This window comes from Homo sapiens, chromosome 3 (genome assembly GCF_000001405.40).
Source record: "Homo sapiens chromosome 3, GRCh38.p14 Primary Assembly".
Classification (NCBI taxonomy): domain Eukaryota; kingdom Metazoa; phylum Chordata; class Mammalia; order Primates; family Hominidae; genus Homo; species Homo sapiens.
The window spans coordinates 129,891,578-129,913,659 of record NC_000003.12 but is presented as its reverse complement, the minus strand read 5'-3'; the positions used below and the strand labels follow the sequence as shown (position 1 = coordinate 129,913,659).

The 22,082-nt window shown below is 43.9% G+C and overlaps 1 protein-coding gene and 1 long non-coding RNA gene across 13 annotated transcripts in view, besides 6 other annotated features; one reads left to right on the top strand and one right to left on the bottom strand.

Moving 5' to 3' along the window:
• Positions 1 to 4,747: 4,747 nt before the first annotated feature.
• On the bottom strand, positions 4,748 to 19,789 carry TMCC1-DT (TMCC1 divergent transcript). Its single transcript, NR_037893.1, has 3 exons — positions 19,733 to 19,789; positions 11,800 to 11,953; positions 4,748 to 8,033 (listed from the first exon to the last, which is right to left on the bottom strand). It is a non-coding gene; the product is annotated as a TMCC1 divergent transcript (long non-coding RNA).
• Positions 6,567 to 6,767: a silencer, noted in NCBI's record as "peak4829 fragment used in MPRA reporter construct". NCBI's record gives its function as "represses an SCP1 promoter by STARR-seq MPRAs in K562 erythroleukemia cells {active_cell/tissue: K562}" and the evidence as "EXISTENCE:reporter gene assay evidence [ECO:0000049][PMID:32103011]".
• Positions 6,877 to 7,077: a silencer, noted in NCBI's record as "peak4828 fragment used in MPRA reporter construct". NCBI's record gives its function as "represses an SCP1 promoter by STARR-seq MPRAs in K562 erythroleukemia cells {active_cell/tissue: K562}" and the evidence as "EXISTENCE:reporter gene assay evidence [ECO:0000049][PMID:32103011]".
• Positions 19,692 to 20,421: a silencer, noted in NCBI's record as "silent region_14729". NCBI's record gives its function as "represses an Ori minimal core promoter by ATAC-STARR-seq in GM12878 lymphoblastoid cells {active_cell/tissue: GM12878}" and the evidence as "EXISTENCE:reporter gene assay evidence [ECO:0000049][PMID:35858748]".
• Positions 19,692 to 20,574: a biological region, named in NCBI's record as "H3K27ac hESC enhancer GRCh37_chr3:129611929-129612720".
• Positions 19,783 to 20,574: an enhancer, noted in NCBI's record as "H3K27ac hESC enhancer chr3:129611929-129612720 (GRCh37/hg19 assembly coordinates)". NCBI's record gives its function as "activates a minimal SCP1, AML or CMV promoter by ChIP-STARR-seq in naive H9 embryonic stem cells {active_cell/tissue: H9 hESC(naive)}" and the evidence as "EXISTENCE:reporter gene assay evidence [ECO:0000049][PMID:30033119]".
• TMCC1 (transmembrane and coiled-coil domain family 1) overlaps positions 19,949 to 22,082 on the top strand; it is a 245,920-nt gene continuing 243,786 nt past the window's right edge. For 11 of the 12 annotated variants that reach the window (NM_001128224.3, NM_001349268.2, NM_001349270.2 and 8 more), the window contains exon 1: positions 19,949 to 20,166. The gene's annotated coding sequence lies outside the window, so the exon portion shown is untranslated. Of the gene's footprint in view, positions 20,479 to 22,082 lie in introns of all 12 variants that reach the window. The other variant, NM_001349276.2, reaches the window with a different exon arrangement.
• Positions 20,575 to 21,367: an enhancer, noted in NCBI's record as "H3K27ac hESC enhancer chr3:129611136-129611928 (GRCh37/hg19 assembly coordinates)". NCBI's record gives its function as "activates a minimal SCP1, AML or CMV promoter by ChIP-STARR-seq in naive H9 embryonic stem cells {active_cell/tissue: H9 hESC(naive)}" and the evidence as "EXISTENCE:reporter gene assay evidence [ECO:0000049][PMID:30033119]".

Sequence of the window (22,082 nt, the reverse complement as noted above, 5' to 3'; positions counted from 1 at the left end):
CAGCCTGGTGAGCTTCCACCACTCTCTTGGACTGTCCTGTTGACAGGGCTGAAGGTCCTGGCTTGAGACAGGACCTGATGTTTCTCTGGTGCCCCTCCCACCACTTGCTGAGTTAGTTGGATCTCAAAGGTAGGATCCTGCTGACCTTGTCTCTGGATTACTGGACAACAGGGACTGAGAAAGTTATGTTTAATTAGAAGAGACACAGGCCAGCCTTCATGGACTTAGTTGTATCCCTCTCTGTCCCACCACTGTGACATCTGTGATATTGTCTTCCCTGCCCAGCACCCCCTTTTCTTCTGGGAACAACACCTTCTTTTGGGGACCTGTTCCTTTCTGCTTTCTAATCACTATGTAATTTCAGTGGGTGTTATTGGTCATACGCTCATGGCCACAGTTGATCGGTCTAGGGATGGGCATTGTACTCAAAATGGGCCAATCAGAGCCTTTCCCTCAGATTTGCTGGACTGGACTGACGCAGGATACAGGTTTTCTAGCATGAGGCTCAGGAACTAATGGCAGCCACATCCCCCATTATGGGGAGAAAGCTGATCTGATAAAACTAGGAAAAGCAGAGAGGGGAGAAAGTGTCCAAGGGCCCACTTGTCTCTGAGGCCCTCCCTGCACTTCCCAAGGCTATGTTCCATAAGCACACCAGCATTCTCCCAATAAATGGCTCTGATTTTGCATATGCCTATTTGCTTTGGATTTCTATCACTTGAAGACAAACTAGATCAATAAGCCTGAGATCCCAATCACTAGCAATCCTGACCGTGAGGCCCCGGCAGGGAGGATGTCGGAGTTCTGTTCCCCTGGAGCTGACTGGCTCACTGAGTGGTCTCGAACTCCTGAACTCATGTGATCCACCCACCTCGGGCTCCCAAAGTGCTGGGAGTACAAGCGTGAGCCACCGTGCCCAGCCACAAATCTTAAGAATACATTTCTGGCTGGGTGCGGTGGCTCACGCTTGTACTCCCAGCACTTTGGGAGGCTGAGGTGGGCAGATTACCTGAGGTCACGAGTTCGAGACCAGCCTGGCCAACATGGCGAAACCCTGTATCTACTGAAAATACAAAAATTAGAATTAGCCAGGTATGGTGGCATATGCCTGTAATCCCAGCTCCTTGGGAGGCTAAGGCACGAGAATTGCTTGAATCTTGGAGGCGGAGGTTGCAGTGAGCTGAGATGGTGCCATTGTACTCCAGCCTGTGCAACAGAGCGAGACTCCATCTCAAAAAAAAAAAAAAAAATTTCTGTAGACATACTTACCTGTGTAACCACCACCCAGATCAAGACACAAAACATTTCCAGCACCCAAGAAGACTACTGTGTACTTCCCAGTCAGTGTGCTTGCCCCCGCCCACTACTGTTCTAGCCTACCTCTGTCATCATAGGCTAGTTTTGCCTATCCTTGAACTTCATGTAATGGAAATGCACAGTGTGTGCTGTTTTGTGTCCAGCTTCTTCTACTCAGCACAATATTGGGGATGCCTAATCTGTAATACTGGCCCCTATACTCTTCATCTTCATGCTGCTCCTGGAATGATAGCTAGCATTTGTTAGGTATCTGGCACTGTTCAAGATCTTTACATTATATATTCATTTGCTCCTCATAGTACACCTATGAGGTAAGCACAAACGAAGACACTGGGGCACAAAGAGGTGAGGGAATTTGCCCAAGACACAGATCTGAAGTGGCATAATTAGGATGGGAAGGCAGGCCATCCACCTCCAGTCCATGCTCACACCTAACAGCTAGGGGATCTCATATGCACTTTAAGGACTGAGAGAGACTCTCCAGGTAGAGCTGAGTTTTTGGAGGGTCAAATGGGAAAACAGAAGTAAAAATGTACTAAAAAGAGAAAAGAGTTATACAAATATAAGTCAGGATTATACTTCATTTAATATGACTAGGACCACCATTCACTCATTTGTAAATCTTAATAAATATTAATTAAATAAATATTTAATTAATATTTATCAATATTTATTGATTTAATTAATATTTAATTTAATATTTATTAATTTAATTAATATTTATTGAGCTCCTAAAGATACATGGAGGTCAGTGGGTTCAGAATGACAGAGACAAAGTCCCTGCACTGGTGGAGCTTACAGTCCAGAGAGGAAGGCAGAAATGTAAGGGGAAGTTATGGGTATGTTGAGCTAAGAGGAAATTCAGAGTGTTTTGAGAGAATGTCATAAGAGCAGCTGACTTTGTGGGGTCAGGGAAGGCCACCCTGAGGAAATGACATTCAAGCTGAGACCTGAACCATTTAAGCCAACTCTGTTGGAGAGGAAGGAGTATCAGGAACAGGGAATAGCATAAGCAAAGGCCCTGAAGTAAGAAAAACTAGCACAATCATTAGAAATTTTAAGTCATATCACTTCTTGGCCTTTTGGCTAAGATGAAGTGTCGAAATTTTTTTTTTTTTTTTTTTTTGAGATGGAGTTTGTGGCCCAGGCTGGAGTGCAGTGGCATGATCTCTGCTCACTGCAACCTCCGCCTCCCAGGTTCAAGCGATTCTCGTGCCTCAGCATCCCAAGTAGCTGGGATTACAGGTGCAAACCACCACACCTGGCTAATTTTTCTATTTTTAGTAGAGGCAGGGTTTTACCATGTCGGTCAGGCTGGTCTTGAACTCCTGACCTCAAGTGATATGCCCATCCCGGCCTCCCAAAGTGCTGGGATTACAGGCATGAGCCACTGGGCCCAGCCGAGAAATTCAAAGTCACTAGTATATGATAGTTTTCTATACAACAGTTGTTTGTCTTACTTTCATGGAAATAAAATTCTTTATGGCAGTTTCAATGCTTCCTTGCTCCCACATATGATGATTACTAGATGTAACAGTCTTTTTTGGTCACTCTAGACCTTAATTCGTTTCTACTAACTTTTATTTGGTGAAGCTACATTCTTTCCTGGTTACCCATATTAGCAAAGTGAAATACACACTGAGAGACACAAAGTATTTGGAAATGTGATAAATTATTGCTGCAGGCCTGCTGCAGTGGCTCACACCTATAATCCCAGCATTTTGGAAGGTTGAGGCAGGAGGATTGCTTGAGTCCAGGAGTTTGAGACCAGCCTGGGCAACATAGTAAGACTCTGTCTCTATGAAAATAAATAAATAGGGTGGGCGCGGTGGCTCACGCATGTAATCCCAGCACTTTGGGAGGCCGAGATGGGCGGATCACGAGGTCAGGAGATTGAGACCATCCTGTCTAACGTGGTGAAACTCCGTCTCTACTAAAAATACAAAAAAAAAAAAAATTTAGCCGGGCGTGGTGGCGGGCGCCTGTAGTCCCAGCTACTCAGGAGGCTGAGGCAGGAGAATGGTGTGAACCCAGGAGGTGCAGGTTGCAGTGAGCCGAGATGGCGCCACTGCACTCCAGCCTGGGTGACAGAGAGAGACTCTGTCTCAAAAAAATAAATAAATAAATAAATAAATAAATAAATATACAATTATTGCTGCAAAGACATTGCAATACTTCAGCAGAAGTTACTCCAGATCTTAACAAACAACGTTTTTAGTTTCTCTCTGTTCATTTCCCATCAATATCATCATTAACTGAAATTAGTCAATTTCAGTTATAAATTTTTAATAGCTGTTGAAGTTCATATTTCCTGTAATTCTTCAAGTTACATATGTCATCTAGTCCAGTGATTTTCAAACTGTGATATGCAAATGAATTGCCTGGGGGTCATGTCAAAATGAAGACTCTGACTGAGCTGATCTGGAGTGGGGCTGAGATTCTGCACACCTAAAGAGCTCCCAGGTGATGCTGATGCTGCTGTTCCAGGAGCACATTTTAAATAGTAAGGATCTTGATTAGAAGACTGAAAAGGGCATTATTTTCTTTCAGTATTGTAAACTTTTATTTTTAGGGTGATATTGCACTTTCTGGCCAGGCGCGGTGGCTCACGCCTGTAATCCCAGCACTTTGTGAGGCCAAGGCAGGCGGATCACCTGAGGTCGGGAGTTTGAGACCATCCTGGCTAACATGGTGAAACCCCATCTCTACTAAAAGCACAAAAATTAGCTGGGCGTGGTGGTGGGCCCCTGCAGTCCCAGCGACTCGGGAGGCTGAGGCAGGAGAATTGCTTGAATCTGGGAGGTGGAGGTTGCAGTGAGCCGAGATCACACCACTGTACTCCAGCCTGGGTGACAGAGAGAGACTCCATCCAAAAAAAAAAAAGAAAAAGAAAAAACAATGACATTGCAGTTTCCAATGTAGAATAAAAAAGAAATTGATTTTAAAATTTAGTTTTGGAACATAGATGGGCTGAGGGATTTGCAATTGAAATCCCCTTTTTCTAATATTCTCTATGCAGGAGAAATTGAAAGGAATGTCAAGAGACTCTGCAATTTATTTTAAACTCAGTAATCTATCTTTTTGTAAGCATTATCACTTAGCTTTCCTTTGAAGAATTTCTTAGGCCAGGCGCAATGGCTCATGCCTGTAGTCCCAGCACTTTTAGGAGGACAAGGCAGGAGGATTGCTTGAGGCCAAGAGCTTGAGATCTTGTCCCCAAAAATATATATTTTTTAAGAAAGGTAAAAAATGAATTTCTTAATCCCTCTGAGGTTTTTGAGAGCATTATGTACATTAAAATTTTTTGACATTGCATTTTGATTTTTCTCTGTCATTTTGTTTAAACCATCAGTTTTACTTAAAGCATCATACCAGGTCAGTACTTAGCTAATAAATTTAGACATATGTTTGAAAGTAGAACTTTTGCTGGTATTTTAGAATGTGTATTCTTTATTAACCATCATCACAAAAAAGAGCATTGCATGCTGTTTGTAATTGTGTTTTTACTGGTGAGACACAGTAGAGACAGAGCCTGGCTTTGGTTCACCCCCATTAGAGCATTCCCACACATCACAAAACCCACACCATTACCTCGCTGCTAATAGTCTTTTTACTTAAAGAATTCCAGGAACTGGCTTTAGGAGCTAACCAAGGTTGCAGAGTGTCCCACCTCAGAAAGGAATGCTGCTGGACAATTGATTTATAGTCTTGTTGTCACAGGCCAGACTACCAGGTGGCCCATTACTCAAGATAACCATCACAACTGGATATGCTGACCTGCTACCCTACCCCTCACATTGTTTGCCTTGCCCAGCCTGTGTACACTCTACTTCTGATGTCAGTTCTGTACTTTGCCTAATAAAAAAGTCCTACCTGTTCTTTTATAGGTGGAGTCTGTCAGGGAATACTCTCTCTCTCTCTCTCTCTGTCTCTCTCTATCTCTCTTTCTCTCTCGTTCTGCCTCCCTTATGGCTGGACAAAAGCTCCAGTGAAGCTTTGAGAAAACTCTTTTGGCCTCATGTCAATGTTCTATTGCATTGAGAGCCCAAGAACCCATGGTCAGTTGACACGGGCATGGCAGTCTCAACTCGATTTTCCTGTCACACGTTTAACAGTGGTTTCAAATTTATATCCAGTGTGTTTTCAATATACCCAAACATTTAACTGAAGCTTTTGGTAGATGTATAGTTCTTTTTTTTTTTCTTTCTTTCCCCAAGATGGAGTCTGCTCTGTTGCTCAGGCTGGAGTGTTGCAGTGAGCTGAGATCGTGCCACTTCACTCCAACCTGAGCAACAGAGCAAGATCCTGTCTCAAAAAAAAAAAAAAAAAAAAGCAAGCAAGCAAGCAAGCAAGCTTTAAGGTGGGCATAGTGGTATGTGTCTGTAATCCCAACTACTCAGGAGGCTGAGGAAGGAAGATTGCTTGAGGACAGGGGTTCAAGACCAGCCCAGGCAACATGGTTAGATCTCCCCCTCATCTCAAATAATAATAATGATGCTTTAGAAAAGGAATATAGAATGATACAGAATATACCATTCTATATTTTATGGTGTATATATACATATATATATTTTTTATTCAAGGATTTCCTATTGCACCATGTTGTCATATTTCTAGCTTCTTGAATTATTTTTGTCTGGTTCAGTTTTTGTAAGTAGTTTACTAAAATTTAAAAATAATCTTTCTCCAGTTGTGACAAAAATCTCCCAAAAATGTTCACATATAGAAGTATTTGAGTTTAGAAAATCACAACTCTAACCATAATCATCTGCACTATATGCCTCGCATCAGGTAATGTGTCTAAAATAATAAGTAACATTTAGCATTTCTGACCTTATCCCAAAGTATTTTAATAGTATCTGTTAATGTTTTAATTAATGGGTTTTGTATTGCATCTCCTGGATAACAAAGTAGAGTAGATTTTTGGTGATAACATTTGATTTCTGATAAATATTCTGCATTGATATTACCAAATGTTGCCAAATTAATATTCTGATTTTTATACTGCTGAGACTAGCTCAGTCGTGGAGACCCTAACCCAGCAGCACTAGAGGAATTAAAGAAACACACACACACACACACACACACACACACACACAGAACTATAGAGTGTGGAGTGGGAAATCCAGGGGGCTGACAGCCTTCAGATCTGAGAGCCCCAAACAGAGTTTAACCCACATATTTACTGACAGCAAGCCAGTGATAACCATTGTTTCTATAGATTACAGATTAACTAAAAGCATTCCTTACAGGAAACAAAGGGATGGGCCAAAACAAAAGGATGGGTTGGGCTAGTTATCTGCAGCAGGAACATGTCCTTAATGCATAGATCACTCATGCTATTGTCTGTGGCTTAGGAACGCCTTAAGCAGTTTTCTGCCCTGGGTGGGCCAGGTGTTCCTTGCCCTCATTACAGTAAACCCACAACCTTCAGGGTGGGTGTCATAGCCATCACGAACATGTCACAGTGCTGCAGAGATTTTGTTTATGGTCAGTTTTGGGGCCAGTTTATGGCCAGATTTGGGGGCCTGTTCCCAACATGTTCCCCCTTTTTGTTTTTGCAAGATGATAAATGCAAAGGTGGCTTTATCATGGTGAGCTACTTCTTGCAGGAGTCGGGAGCTGCAGACTATACAAAGACAAACAACACAGATTAAAAGCACCATCATCATTGAAATCACAGAGCTTCCAAGTGTTTTTATCTATTTTAATGGGTTACTACCTGCTAATCTGTCTACACTCCTTCAAGCACTCCTATTTCTGGCATTAAGGTCAGGTGTGCCTGGGATGCTTTAAATATTTGTTCTTTTAATTTTGCAATATCCAAAGACAAGTTTGTAGAGTGTCCTTCTAGATGCTTTTTTACTCTCTCCCAAATTTTGATCTTATTAAGAGCCATTAATAGTTTCCACAAATCCTTATGTTAAGCTCCTAGAGCGGGCCATATCATTTGAGGTTGAGGTGCCACTATACCACCATGTTTTCAAATAATAGGAACTCTTGCCATACTTCTTACCATTTCTACCATTTGACCATTTTGTTCAGACCAGCTGAACATAGTGTGGCTGTGGCACACAGACTGACAGGTGCAATTCAAGCTAAACATCCCCTTAGGGGACCAATCAATAATGATTCCACGGGAATTGTTGCACAGCACCTCTGCCTGTTTTGCAATGCAATCTTCCCAAACAAATACATTCATTATTTCTAGCCAGGTCCAATTCTGTTTACAAATAGGTTTTTGAGGGCAGTATACCTCAATTACAGGAGCAGATTTATTATGGTAAATACGGAGACCAGAAAGCATGTGTAACTGTGTCATAGAGTGATTACATCCAGGCATTATTGCCAGCCAAGATTGATAAATACGCCCAATAAGTATAATTGTCCTCTGTGCCAGCCCTTGTTGAAGGAATACTCATGGCAATGGTGATCACCACTATCATAGCTATCATTAAATTACTCATTGTGACTGGTTGTCCCACTTTCCTTAGGTTTTCTTCTGCCATCTGTGACAGCTTCTTGATCTGTCCCCAGGTAGGTGGCTGCGTTCGATGGGTGTTGCTCGTGACAGTTGGGGTCCCCCTCAGCGTCAGTCTCAACATGGCTGCAACCAGGGGATCCTCGGGATCCTCCCAGAATCTATTCCTCAGCATCAGGCTCATGATAAGGTTTCAGGTGCCTCGATGATATCCAAATTGGCAGTTGATTTGGTCCTGGAGAAACACAAGGATAACCTCTACCCCAAGTTATTATTCTACCCATTTCCCAACTTTTTATCATTGGCTCTCTCCACCAAACCAGTTGTTCTGCTTCTGTCTTTGCAGCTGGTTTCTGTAGATGCTATTCAGCTGCTGATAGCATCTGGCCTTTAGGCAGTCTCAAAAAATTTAAAGTCAATAATACTAGATTCAATTGCATATGGGGTATCCCATAGTCCCTGTTTCCCCCTTTTTGCTTTTGCAACTGCTGTTTCAGGGAGGGATTCATTCTTTCCACTATGGCTTGTCCTTGAGAATTATACGGAATGCCAGTAATGTGTTTAGTATTCCATATAGAGAAAAATGTAGCTAGAGCTTGGCTAGTATAGCCTGGGACGTTATCTGTTTTAATAGAAGCTGGAATGCCCATCACCACAAAACACTGCAAAAGGTGATGTTTAACTCAGGCAGAAGACTCTCCTGATTGGCATGTAGCCCAGACAAAGTGAGAAAAGGTGTCCACACATACATGTACATAAGCTAGTCTCCCAAACGAGGGAACGTGGGTGACATCCATTTGCCAAAGAGAATTACGTTCCAATCCTCGAGGATTAACTCCCCCTGTAAAAGACGAGGAATGCACCATTTGACAAGTTGGGCATCACTGGATAATAGCTTTAGCTTCTGTCCAGGTAATGCTGTATCTGCGTTTGAGACCAGAGGCATTAACATGGGTTAAATTGTGAAAGTGTCTGGCATTAGATATTGCAGTAGCAACTAGGCGATCAGCCATTTGATTCCCTGGAGTCAAAGGTCCTGGAAGAGGTGTATGAGCCCGAATATGAGTAATGTAGAAAGGGTGCATTCTACTCCTAATTGCTGTTTGCAGTTGGGTAAATAAAGTCATCAGTTGTTCATCTGTATGAAATCGTAACTGAGCATTTTCAATTAATTGTGTGGAATGAACCACATATGAAGAATCAGAAATCACATTAATAGGTATATCAAAAGCAGTCAATACCTCAATTATAGCTACAAGCTCTGCTTTTTGAGCCGAAGTATAGGGCGTCTGGAAAACTTTACCTTTCGATCCAGAATAAGAAGCTTTACCATTACTAGACCCATCTGTGAAGACATTTTCAGCACTTTCAATTGGTTTAAATTTAGTTATTTTAGGGAGAATCCAATTAGTTAATTTCAAAAATTGAAATAATTTTGTTTTAGGAAAATGGTTATTGAAAATACCCACAAAGTCAGCTACGTGGGTTTGCCAAGTAAGACTATTTATAAAAGTTGCTGTATTTGTGCCTTTGTAAGAGGAACAATAATTTTTCCAGGATCATATCCATGTAATTTAACAATCCGAGTTCTCCCATTTCCTATCATAGTAGCAATTCGATCCAAATAAGGGGTCAAAGTCTGTGAATTAGCATGTGGAAGAAAAAGCCATTCTACTAAGTCCTGCTCTTGGACAATAACACAGTAGGTGAATACTGAGTTGAAAAAATTAGCAAATCTAGAGTCTTCTCTTGATCTATTCTATTCATTTGAGCTTTACAGACTTGCTTTTCAATCAGCTGTAACTCTGCCTCAGCCTCATTTGTTAATTGCCAAGGGCTAGTGAGACTAGGATCTCCTCTAAGGATAGAAAATAGATTACTCATGGCATAGGTAGGAATGCCTAGAGCAGGTCATATGCAATTAATGTCCCCTAGTAATTTTTTAAAGTCATTTAATGTTTTCAATTGATCCCGACGTATATGGTTACTATATGGTTACTTTCTGTGGCACAATGGTAGTGTCATTTACTAAGTTCCCCAAGTAGGAGTAAGGAGTAGTAGTCTGAATTTTTTAAGTAGCTATAATTAAACTGGCACGAGAAATCGAGTTTTGCAAGTGATCATAACATTGGAGTAATATTTCTCGAGGGGCGGCAGCACAAAGTATATCGTCCACATAATGAATAATGTAACACTGTGAAAATTTTTACAAGTAGGTTCAATTGCTTGCCCTACATAAGTCTGGCAAATTGTTGGACTATTTAACATGCCTTCTGGCAACACTTTCCAATGCAAATGCTTAGCAGGCTGCAGGTTGTTTACTGCAGGAATTGTAAATGCAAACTGTTCACAGTCTTGCTCAGCTAAGGGGATAGTAAAGAAACAGTCTTTTAAATCTATGGCTATTAAAGGCTGATTTTTCAGAATCATAGCAGGAAAAGACAATCCTGGCTGTAATGCCCCTGTAGGTTGTATAACGGAATTAACGGCTCTTAAGTCAGTTAATATTCTCCATTTACCTGATTTTTTCTTAATAATAAAGACTGAAGAATTCCAAGGGGAAAATGTTGGAGCTATGTGTTCTTTTTCTAATTATTCAGTAACTAAGTCCTCTAAAGCCTCCAGTTTCTCTTTATTTAGTGGCCATTATTCTATCCAAATTGGCTTATCTGTCAACCATTTTAAAGGTATAGGTTCTGGAGGCTTAACAATGGCCACGATCAAAAATGATACCCTAAACCTTGGTGGGAACTTTGTCTTCCTGCTTGAAGTGGTTCCTTCAAACATTGCAAATTTTTTCCTAGTCCCATACCAGGGACATACCCCATTCCATGCATCATATGTTGACTTTGAGGGCTATATAATTGTTCTGGAATTAGAACTTGTGCTCCCCATTGTTGTAATAAATCTCTCCTCCATAAATTTATAGGTACAGAAGTTACAATTGGTTGAATAGTCCCAGGTTGTCCATCGGGCCCTTCACAGTGCAAAATATAACTACTTTGATATACTTCAGGGGCTTTACCAACTCCAACTATGTTAAATTGAGCGAGTTGAATTGGCCAGGAGGATGACCAGTGCTGTAGAGAAATAACTGAAATGTCTGCTCCTGTATCTACCAAACCTTTAAATTTCTTTCCCTGAATAGTTATTTCACAGGTAGGACATTTATCAGTAATTTGATTCACCCAATAAGCTGCTTCACCTTGTTTATTTGTGCTTCCAAATCCTCCTGTTCGTTTAATTTCACTTTTCCCCATTTCCACATATGGCACAATCAGGAGCTGTGCTATGCGCTCTCCTGGCTCTGCTTTCCAGGCAACAGAAGTAGATAAAACAATTTGAATTTCCCCATTGTAATCTGAATCAATGACTCCTGTATATACTTGCAGTCCTTTTAAATTTAAACTAGATCTACCTAGAAGTAATCCTATAAGCCCCACTGGCAACATCTGACTGGAGACAGGAACATTCTTTAACAGTCCCATTACAAAAGGATAACCTTGTCCATACTGATTAATAGCTTGTTTAAATTCTTTGAGTAATTTAAAAGGAAAAGGCTCAAATGTAGCTATAATATTTCCCTGTTGATCTGGGGGGTGTATTCCAACAGGGACTGCCAAACCTCTAAATCACCCTCTCTTCTAGCTTGCTGGATTCCTGCTTGAATAGAACTGAGAGCGGTCACTCGAGGCACTGCTCGGTCACTGGGGCAACTACTTTTCACCCAGTGTCCTCTGGAAAAGAAAGATCTGGAGGGTCAGGCTACTCTTTTTCTTCAAAATAATGAGGGGGTGCAGAAGGGTAGGGAGGAACCTCTTCCTCCTTTGCCGCTTTAGCTTTAGCTGGCAAACAAACCTGCTCTGTCATGTCTTCTGTTAGTTCATTATACTTTCCTTCCTCCTCATCATTAGGGTGAAAAGGTTCCAAGGTGGAATGAACCAGAGCCCACACTTGTCCCATTGATACCCTGATGCTTCCGAGCTCCCCTTCTTACTCACCACGGGGATTGCTTAAGAGTACTCAGGTGTCCTCCAGCTTAGTTCCACGTTCTCCAACCGTCGCTCTGGCGACCCTTCAACCCAGGTTCGAGCCCCATGTATGGACACCACTTGCTGAGACCAGCTCGGTTGTGGAGACCCTAACCCAGTGGCACTAGAGGAATTAAAGACACACACACACAGAAATATAGAGTGTGGAGTGGGAAATCAGGGAGCTGACAGCCTTCAGAGCTGAAAGCCCTGAACAGTTTTACCCACATATTTATTGACAGCAAGCCAGTGATAAGCATTGTTTCTATAGATTATAGATTAACTGAAAGTATTCCTTATGGGAAACAAAGGGATGGGCTGAAACAAAGGGATGGGCTCTGGCTAGTTATCTGCAGCAGGAACATGTCCTTAAGACACAGATCGCTCATGCTATTGTTTGTGGTTCAGGAATGCCTTTAAGCGGTTTTCCGCCCTGGGTGGGCCAGGTGCTCCTTGCCCTCATTATGGTAAACCCACAACCTTCAGCGTGGGTGTCATAGCCATCACAAACATGTCACAGTGCTGCAGAAATTTTGTTTATGGCCAGATTTGGGGGCCTGTTCCCAACACTATCCTTTTTTTTTTTTTTTTTTTTTTTGAGACAGAGTCTCACTCTTTTGCCCAGGCTGGAGTGCAGTGGCATGATCTCAGCTCACTGCAACCTCTGCTGCCCAGGTTCAAGCGATTCTCCTGCCTCAGCCTCCCAGGTAGCTGGGATCACAGGTGCCTACCACAGAGCCCAGCTAATTTTTGTAGTTTTTAGTAGAGACAGGGTTTCACCATCTTGGCCAGGCTTGTCTTGAACTTCTGACCTCGTGATCCACCCACCGCAGCCTCCCAAAGTGCTGGGATTACAGGCGTGAGCCACTGCACCTGGCCCTGATTTCTATACTCTTAATATTAATTGGTTAAGTGCCTGAATGCTAGACATTGCCTCACCAAAACCAGAATTATTTATATATATATATATATATATATATATATATTTTTTTTTTTTTTTTTTTTTTTGAGACAGAGTTTCACTCTTTCGCCCAGGCTGGAGTGCAGTGGCATGATCTTGGCTCACTGCAATCTCCACCCTCTGGGTTCGAGTGATTCTCCTGCCTCAGCCTCCCCAGTAGGTGGGATTATAGGTGCGCACCACCACACCCAGCTAATTTTTGTACTTTTAGTAGAGACGGGGTTTCGCCAGGTTGGCCAGTCTGGTCTTGAACTCCTGACCTCAGGTGATCTGCCTGCCTCAGCCTCCCAAAGTGCTAGGATTACAGGCATGAGCCACCACACCCAGCCTTATATAATGTTTTCAGCAACAGCACAGCAGCATTTCTCCCACATTATAGTTTTGCAGCAGTACCTATCACTGTGCCTCCTTTCTCTCTAATGCTCTTTTCTGAGTTTTCTTTCCTTTCTTTTCTTTCTGTACTTTCATCTGAATACTTACTGCTGCCTGTTTTCCCATTCATAAATCCACTATTTTGCTGCTTCTAATCTGCTCTAAATCTCATCTAATGATTTTTTTAATAACAACTTTAGTAGGGTATGCTGTATATCTATTCATACAATCAACTGTACCTATTTAAAATGTACAGTTTGATGAGTTTTAAGTTATGTATACACCCATACAACCACAACCATAACCAAGATGCAGATCATTCTTGTGGTGCCTAATGTCTGTAATTCCAGCACTTTGGAAGGCTGAGGAGGGAGGATCACTTGAGCCCAGGAGTAGTTCAAGACCAGCCTGGGCAACACGGCAAGACCCAACACAAGAAATTTAAAAATTAGTTGGACGTGGTGGCGCATGCCTGTAATTCTAGCTACATAGGAGGCTGAGGTGGGAGGATTGCTTGAACCTGGGAGGTTGAGGCTGCAGTGAGCTGTGATAGTGCCACCACACTCCAGCCTGAGCAACAGAGTGAGACCCTGTTGCAAACAAACCAATAAAAAAACATGCAGACCACTGTTATCATCCCCAGAAGTTTCTTTGTGCCCCTTTTTCTCACATTTCTCCCTCCACATCTGGTCCCAGGCAACCATTGGTTTGCTGTCACTATAGATTAGCTAGCATTTTTCTAGAATGTTATGTAAATGGGATTGCACATTATGTATTCTTTTGTTTTTGGCTTCTGCTGCTATTAGGTTGGTGCAAAAGTAATTTTGGTTTTTGCCAAAGTAATGCAGTGAGTAATGGCAAAAACCGAAATTACTTTTGCACCAACCTAGTATAATGATTTTGAGATTCATGCACTCTACTGAGTGATTGACAGTTCATTTCTTTTCATTGCCAAGTAATATTCATTTAATTGAATATTTTGTTGCTGAGTAAATTGAATGTATTTTGTTCATCTATTCACCTGTTGATGTGTATTTGAGACATTTCAGGTTTTGCGATCCTGTGAATAGATACTGCCAATATTCTTGTACAAATTTTGGTGTACCCAGGCACAGTGGCTCACACCTGTAAACCCAGCACTTAGGGAGGCAAAGGTGGCCAGATAGCTTGAGCTCAGGAATTCAAGACCTGCTTGGGCAACATAGCAAGACTCCTTTCTCAATTACAAAAAAATTTTTTAACTTTATTTTAAAACCCCCCAAATCTTAGTATAGATGTATATTTTCGTTTCTCTTGGGTAAATACGTGATAGCCTTTTTTAGGCATCAACTTGGCTGAACTATAGTCCCCAGTTATTTAATCAAATACAAATCTGAGAGTTGCTATGAAGGTAGTTTTTGTTTTGAAACAGGGTCTCACTTTGTTACCCAGGCTGAATGCAGTGGTGCCAGCATGGCTCACTGAAGCCTCGACCTTGTGGGCTCAAGCAATCCTCCCACCTCAGCCTCCTGAGTATCTGGGATTATAGGCACACCATCATGCCCTGCTAATTTTTAAAAAAACTTTTGTAGAGATGAGGTCTCACTATGTTGCCCAGGCTTGTCCCAAACTCCTGGGCTCAAGTGAACCTCCTGCCTCAGCCTCTCAAAGTGTTGGGATTACAGGCATGAGCCACTATGCTGGGCCTGAAGGTGTTTTTGTGGATATAACTAAAATTCATAAATTGTTTTTAAGTAAGAAAGATTATCCTAGATAATCTGGTTGGTCTGGATTCAATCAGTAGAAAGTCTTTAAAAGCAGAGTTGAAGAAGAAGAAATTCTGAAGAAGAAATTCTGCCTGTGGACTGTGACTTCAGCCCTTGCCTGAAATTTCCAGCCTATTCTCCTGCCTGCATTATAGATTTCCAACTTGCCTAATCAGCCCCCCTCCCCCCACATAAGTCAATTCCTTGAAGTAAATCTCACTGTGTATCTCCTACTGGTTCTGCTTCTCTGTTGGAACCCTGACTGATACCGATTTGGTACTGAAAGTGGCTCTAGAGGAATGGAATCTTGAGGATGAGTTTTCTGAATTTGTTCTGCGTTTTCTTGAATTTCTTGAATTTCATGAATTCTTATATGATTACATTTAAAGGCACTAGTGACTCTATTTCCAGTGGTGAAGAGGGCACTGGGAGTCCATGGCATGATAAAGCATCGAATACGCCTAATGAAACACCTATAGAAAGCAAGGTTATGCGTGACTGTGTATTTGTTACCTTAGAATATTTTAGTTAAACCAAGGAACAGAATGGCATTGGCCATAACTGCACTGAAGAAAGCAGGCAAAGAAAAGGATGAGCTCAGGGTTTCAGATTCCCACCTTTCAGTGTTTAAAGCTTTAAGCTATGCATAGATGACCTGGAAGCTTCCATATCTGTCCTGAAAGGAACCCTTAGGGCCACAATTTCTGAAAACCAACCCAGAGTCTCATTCTGCAAGGGGCTGATACAGATGCTGTTTAGAGCCTTTGGCAGGCCACTGTAGGTGAATCACGCTGCAGACCCTTAAGATTTTGGAGCAAAGCCCTGCAGAAGAGTACTGTCCTCTTGAGAAACAACGTTTGGCTTGCTGGGCCTAAGCAGAGACTGAACAGTTAACCGTGGGTCATCAAGTTACCATGTGACCTGAGCTGCTCATCATGAACTAAGTGTTATCTGATCCACCAAGCTATAAAGTTGTGCACTCACAGCAACACTCCATTATCAAATTGAAGTGGTATATATGAGATTGGGCTCAAATGGGCCCTGAAGGCATAGGTAAGTTGCACGAGGAAGTGGCCCAAATATCCATGGCCCCAACTCCTGCTACATTACCTTCTCTCTCCCAGCCTGCACCTATGGCGCCATGGGGCATTCCTTATGACCAGTTGACTGAAGAAGGGAAAACTCAGTTGTGGTTCATAGCCCAGGTTTATGATGGTTCTGCACAATATGCAGGCACCAGTGAAAATAAAACTAGTGTCCCTTTCTGGGACATCCCTGAAGAATAATGGTGAAAAAAAAATCCCCCAGTTGGCAGAACTTTGAAGAGTGTACTTGGTTGTTCATTTTTCCTGAAAGTAGAAACGTCCAGAGGCTCTTCTGACCAAGAGGTCTTAGTTCCAAAAGAAGGAATGCTTCCACCAGGAGACCCAACAACATTTCCATTGAATTGGGAGTTGAGGTGGTCACCTGGCCACCTTGGGTCTTTCATGCCTCTGAATCAACAGGTAAAGTGGGAAGTTCCTCTACTGGCTGAGGTGACTAATCCTGATTACTAAGCAGGAAATTCGGTTGCTACTACAAGATGGAGACGTATTAATGATAGGTAACTTTATATTGCAGTATTAAGTTATAAGACATCAAAGGTGGAGAAGAAACATCACTCAAGGACTTTGCATCCCCTTGGGAAAAGTGTTGTTATGTTTTCAATAGTATGCAGGATAGTTATATCATGTTAAGTGAAAGTATGACTTTGTTATTGTCTTTAAATTTTTTTTTTTTTTGAGACATAGTCTCACTCTGTCACCCAGGCTTGAATGCAATGGCATGATCTTGGCTCACTGCAACCGCCGCCTCCCAAGTTCAAGCGATTCTCCTGCCTCAGCCTCCTGAGTAGCTGGGATTAGAGGCATACGCTGCCACATCCGGCTAATTTTTGTATTTTTAGTAGAGATGGGGTTTCACCATGTTGGCCAAGCTGGTCTCAAACTCCTGACCTCATGATCTGCCCACATTGGCCTCCCAAAGTGCTGGGATTACAGGCGTGAGCCACTGCGCCCAGCCAAAGACTTTTTTTTTTTAAGAGATATGGTCTTGCTGTGGTACCCAGGCCGGAGTACAGTGGTGCGATCATAGGTCACTGCAACCTTGAACTCCTGGGCTCAAGGGATCCTCCTGCCTCAGGCTCCCCAGTAGCTAGGACTACAGGTGTACACTCCCACACTGGCTAATTAAAAAAAATTTTTTTTGTAGAAATGGGGTCTCATTAGGTTGCCCAGGCTGGTCTTGAACTCCTGGGCTGAAGCGATCCTCTTGCCTTGGCCTCCCAAAGTGCTGGGATTACAGGGTCCCTGGTGTGTTATTGTCAGCCTTTAGAGATCAAGTATGGTTAAGGAGATGTGTAGGAGTGTGATTGCTGGGTCATCGGTCTTAATTTTAGCTATCCTAATGAGAGTGTTGTGGTTTTAAATGGAAAAATCCCTAGTTGACTAAAGATGTTGGTAATCTCTTCATTGCTTATAGGCCATTTTTGTATCTTGTGAACTATCTACAAGATATAAAAAAAGCCTTTGCCCATTGGTTTATTGGGCTGGCTTATTACTCATTTATAACAGTTCTTTATGTATTCTGGATACAAGACTTTTGTCTAATGCTTTCTATTGCAAACTCTCCACCTGTGGCTTGCCTTTTCATTTTCTTAATGTTGTCTCTCAAAGAGTACCAGTTTTTAATTTTGATAGAGTTCAACTTATCAATTGCTTTCTTTTTTTTTTTTTTTTTTTTGAGACAGGGTCTCACCCTGTCACTCAGGCTGGAGTGCAGTGGCGCCATCTCAGCTCACTGCAACCTCCGCCTCCCAGGTTCAAGTGATCCTCCTTCCTCAGCCCCACAAGTTAGCTGAGACTGCAGGTACGTGCCAACAAGCCCAGCTAACTTTTGTATTTTTTGTAGAGATAGCATTTTGCCATGTTGCCCAGGCTGGTCTTGAACTCCTGAGCTCAAGTGATCTGCCTGCCTTGGCCTCCCAAAGTGCTGGGATTACAGGTGTGAGCCAGGCCATGAATCACTTTTTATGGTTCATATTTTTTGTGTCCTAAGAAGTCTTTGCCTATCCCAAGGTCACAAATACTTTTTCTATGTTTTCTTCTAAAATTTTCTTTTATAGGTTTAGCTTTTAAATTTAGGTTTATCATCCATTTTGAGTTACCTCAGGTGGCTCCTTCAGTGCTTCTGAAATCTATAAATGCATCCTCCACCAACCTCAAATCTAAGTAAACCTTGCCACCTCCTTCTCCTTCACTCCTCATTCAATTTATTGCCAAGTCCTGTCCATTTTACCACTACATTAGCACTCTTCTCTGTCACTACCCTCCTACTTTGCCTTGACTATGTGGCCAGTGGCCTCCTAACTGGCTTCCCGGCCCCAGCTTTGAGACTCCCATCAGACCACTCTTCACGTTGCTATCTAAGTAACTTAAAAACAGACATAATGGGCTGGGGGCAAGGTGGCTCACACCTGTAATCCCAGCACTTTGGGAGGCCGAGGTGGGTGGATCATGAAGTCAGGAGATTCAGACCATCCTGGCCAACATGGTGAAACCCCGTTTCTACTAAAAATACTAAAAAAATTAGCTGGGTGCAGTGGCGTGCACCTGTAGTCCCAGGTACTAGGGAGGCTGAGGCAGGAAAATCACTTGAACCCGGGAGGCAGAGATTGCAGGGAGCCGAGATCGCGCCACTGCACTCCAGTCTGCCTCTCAAAAACAAAAAACAGACATAATGATCAAGTTATTTCCCCTGCAACCCTGCTGAAAAAAACCTGAATAGCTTCTACCAAGCACTCAGATTAAAGTCCCAAATCCGGCCGGGTGTGGTGGCTCATGCCTGCAATCCCAGCACTTTGGGAGGCCGAGGCGGGCAGATCACAAGGTCAGGAGTTCCAGACCAGCCTGGCCAAGATGGCGAAACCCCATCTCTACTAAAAATACAAAAATTAGCCAGGTGCGCTGGCGTGCGCTGGTAGTCCAGCTACTCCGGAGGCTGAGACAGGAGAATCGCTTGAACCCAGGAGGCGGAGGTTGCAGTGAGCTGAGATCGAGCCATTGCACTCCAGCCTGGGTGACCTGGGTGACAGAGTGAGACTCTGTCTCAATAAATAAATAAATAAATAGGTCCCCAATCCTCACCTGTTCTCGCCTACCTCTTCCCACACTCGCAGTCTACTCCACATTCAATATTCTTTAGCGCTCCCCATTCTGGCCATGCCAAGACCTCACCCCTTGGAGCAACTAACTCCTCCCAACTCAATTCCTCAGATTCTACCCTCTTCATCCTCAACTAAATCAATTCCCCCATAAAGATTCTCTTAGTACCATATACCTCTCAGAAGATTTTTACTAATTGAAAACTTAATTTTGTCTGATTCTCCCATGAATGTTTTCCTTCTCCACCAGATCTCAAACTTCATGAGACCAGGGACTCCGTTGACCCCATATGGTACTCCCAGCTCCTTGAACACGGAAGAAGCCTCATTACATAAGTAATAAAAATAAAATAAATTAGGAAAATGGGAATTATAAAGGGATGGGCTGGTGGCTGCTTACAATCCCTTCAGTGGTAATACCTGGTGCAAAGTAATGAGTCTCTGCCCTTTTCCAAGCAGCCTGCTAGGTGGAATGAAGGAAGGCCTTGCGACTCAAATAGGGAGAACAAACGTGTGATCCAGAGCGGCGGGCAGAAATCCGACGAAACCCCATATTACTCAGGGGCGTTGCTCCTAGGGCGAGGGTGGCTCGGTTCCTAGAGCTTTTTGAGAGGAGGAGCTTACCTGGAGCAACTCAGCACTACCTGCAGCGGCGCAGCTCAACCAGCCCAGAGACCGCGTGGGAAGGCGGGCTAGGGGAGGGGCCACGCCTTCCAGGGCCCATCCCCGCCCCTGCGGCGTGCGCGCGCCCGTCCGCCCGCTCCCTTGCGCGTGCGCCGCCGGCCGGGGGCGGAGGTTGTGGGCGGTGGCGGCTGTGGCGGGGGCGCGCGCGCGCTCGCTCTCTCGCGCCGGTTCGCCCTCCCGCGCCGGGGCTGAGGCGGCGGCGGCGGTGGCGGTGACTGAGGCGGCGGCGGCTGAGGCGGCGCGGGGGGAGGGTCGGGAGGGGGGGGTGGTTGTGGGGGATGGACCGGGTGCGGCGGCCGCAGTGGAAGGAGCAGGCGCTTGAGCTCGAGCGACGGCGCTGGCGGAGACGCCGGCTGCTCCTCCCCTCCCCGCCGGTGAGTGAGCGCCCCCGCCCCGGACGCTGGCGGCGGTCGCGGCCCCCTCACGGCCCTCCGCGGTGGGTGGGGACAGTCGTGAGGGAGCGTGGCCTGGCGGCGCAGCGGACGCGGGCCTGGCCTCCCGCTCGCGGCCTGTCGGGGCTGGGACCTGCCGTCGCCCCCGTTCGAGGTTGAAGCCCCGGGCCTAGGACTCGACCCCCAGCATCCCACGGGGCCTCTTTCCTTTCCCGGCTCATTCCGCTGTCATTTTGACCTGGGGTTCCCCTCCAGCCCCTCGCCTCGTTCCCTTCCCAGCATCCCAGGGCCGAGGTGAGGGAGGGGCGTGTGAGAAGTCGGGCCGAGGCCCGAGGGACTGTTTAGGAGCCGGTTCCCGTCGGAATCTGGGGTTTTAGGAGCCCTCGATCGCCATGGCGTCCCAGAAGTTAGCCACCAGGACTCAGCCATTTCCACCTGAAACCAGTTTTGCACCTATTGTTTTGATTTTGAACTGTCTTTCGAGGGGAGGAGGGAGCCCGGCGTACTGGGGAGAATATGTAGTGGGAGGTGGGATGTGAGGAGGAGCTGGCTGGGCTTGGTCTCGGCCTCAGGATGCCCCCTGTTAACCCCTGTAGGATAGGGGAAAGAGGTGCAGCGAGTTGCACCTTCCCTAAAGGGCCAGAGATTCGTTTATAGCTTGCGAATCTCTGCTTTTTCAGCCTCGGTAAAGGGGTATCATTTGTGGTTGGTTTGGTTCGTCCCTTAACAACATTCTTGGTGAGGAATCCCCAGGTGAATCTGCCACGGAGTGAAGCAGCCCACTTGAGCTGTTGGCTACCCCCGGCCCCCGCAACGCCCGTTGGCTTTTGTGACACGTTACACGTTAGTGTTGGTAGAGCCTAGCCGTCAGAGGTACCTGTACCATAAGCATCTCTACGAAAGGTGTGAATTCCTAAATTAGCTTATTCTGTTCTTAAAAAAAAAAAATCCAGGGCATAAATATCAGATAGCTGCTTTAAAATAAAACAAAACTTTGATTTGTTCCAGGAGGTAGATACATTTTTTTCTCTGTATATTAGGAGATTGAAACTCAAATTGTGAGTAGGTGGTAGTTTTACTAGTGTCATGTGACAAAACGATGCTTATAGATGGGATTTTAACTTAATAACCCTGTCCTCTACCAACAGAGTTGGCTTGTATTTTTTTGCAATCACCCACTCTCTGGCTAGTGTAGAAAGATTAAAAAGCTGCTTCTGGTCTGTGGGTGGTAACCTTTTAATTTCTGAAGAGTTTTGAGCTGCTTATAGATTGCTGATCAGCAGCATAGGAAAATTTTAGACGTTAAAAATTCATTAGCATGTGATGTAGAACTGTTATAATTATGAGCATTGATTAAGATTTGGTATGGTGTAGGTGCTGTGTACTGTGTATAAGAATGAGATTTCTCAGAGCATTTGCATCTTAAGATAAACAGAAGCACAGACCGCTGACAGTGTTGGGACACCTTGCAGAAGGACTCTTTTATGAGCACAAAAGACCTGTAGTCTACAATTTGATGAAGAACCCCAGTGCCCTAGACTAGTTGGTGACCAACCACCATTACTTTAAACTGGGCCTTCTTGATAGTAGAATATTTCCCCTTTTCTGCAAGACTGCTTATGCCTCTCATAAATGTGCAGAACATATAATGGCTCAGGGCTTAGGTTTAAGCTCCTCAGAGTGGCATTTATGGATCATTCATTAATTCATCAAATGTTTATTGAGCCCTTACTTTGTTCCAGGATGTTTTCTAAGTACTGGGCTACATTGTTGGGACAAAACAGACAAGGCCTCTTCCCTAATTAAGCTTTATTCTGTATGTATGGGAATGAGGAATATACAACAAACAAGCAAATAGGATCATTTCAGATAATGATATAAATCAGTGGTTAGTAAGC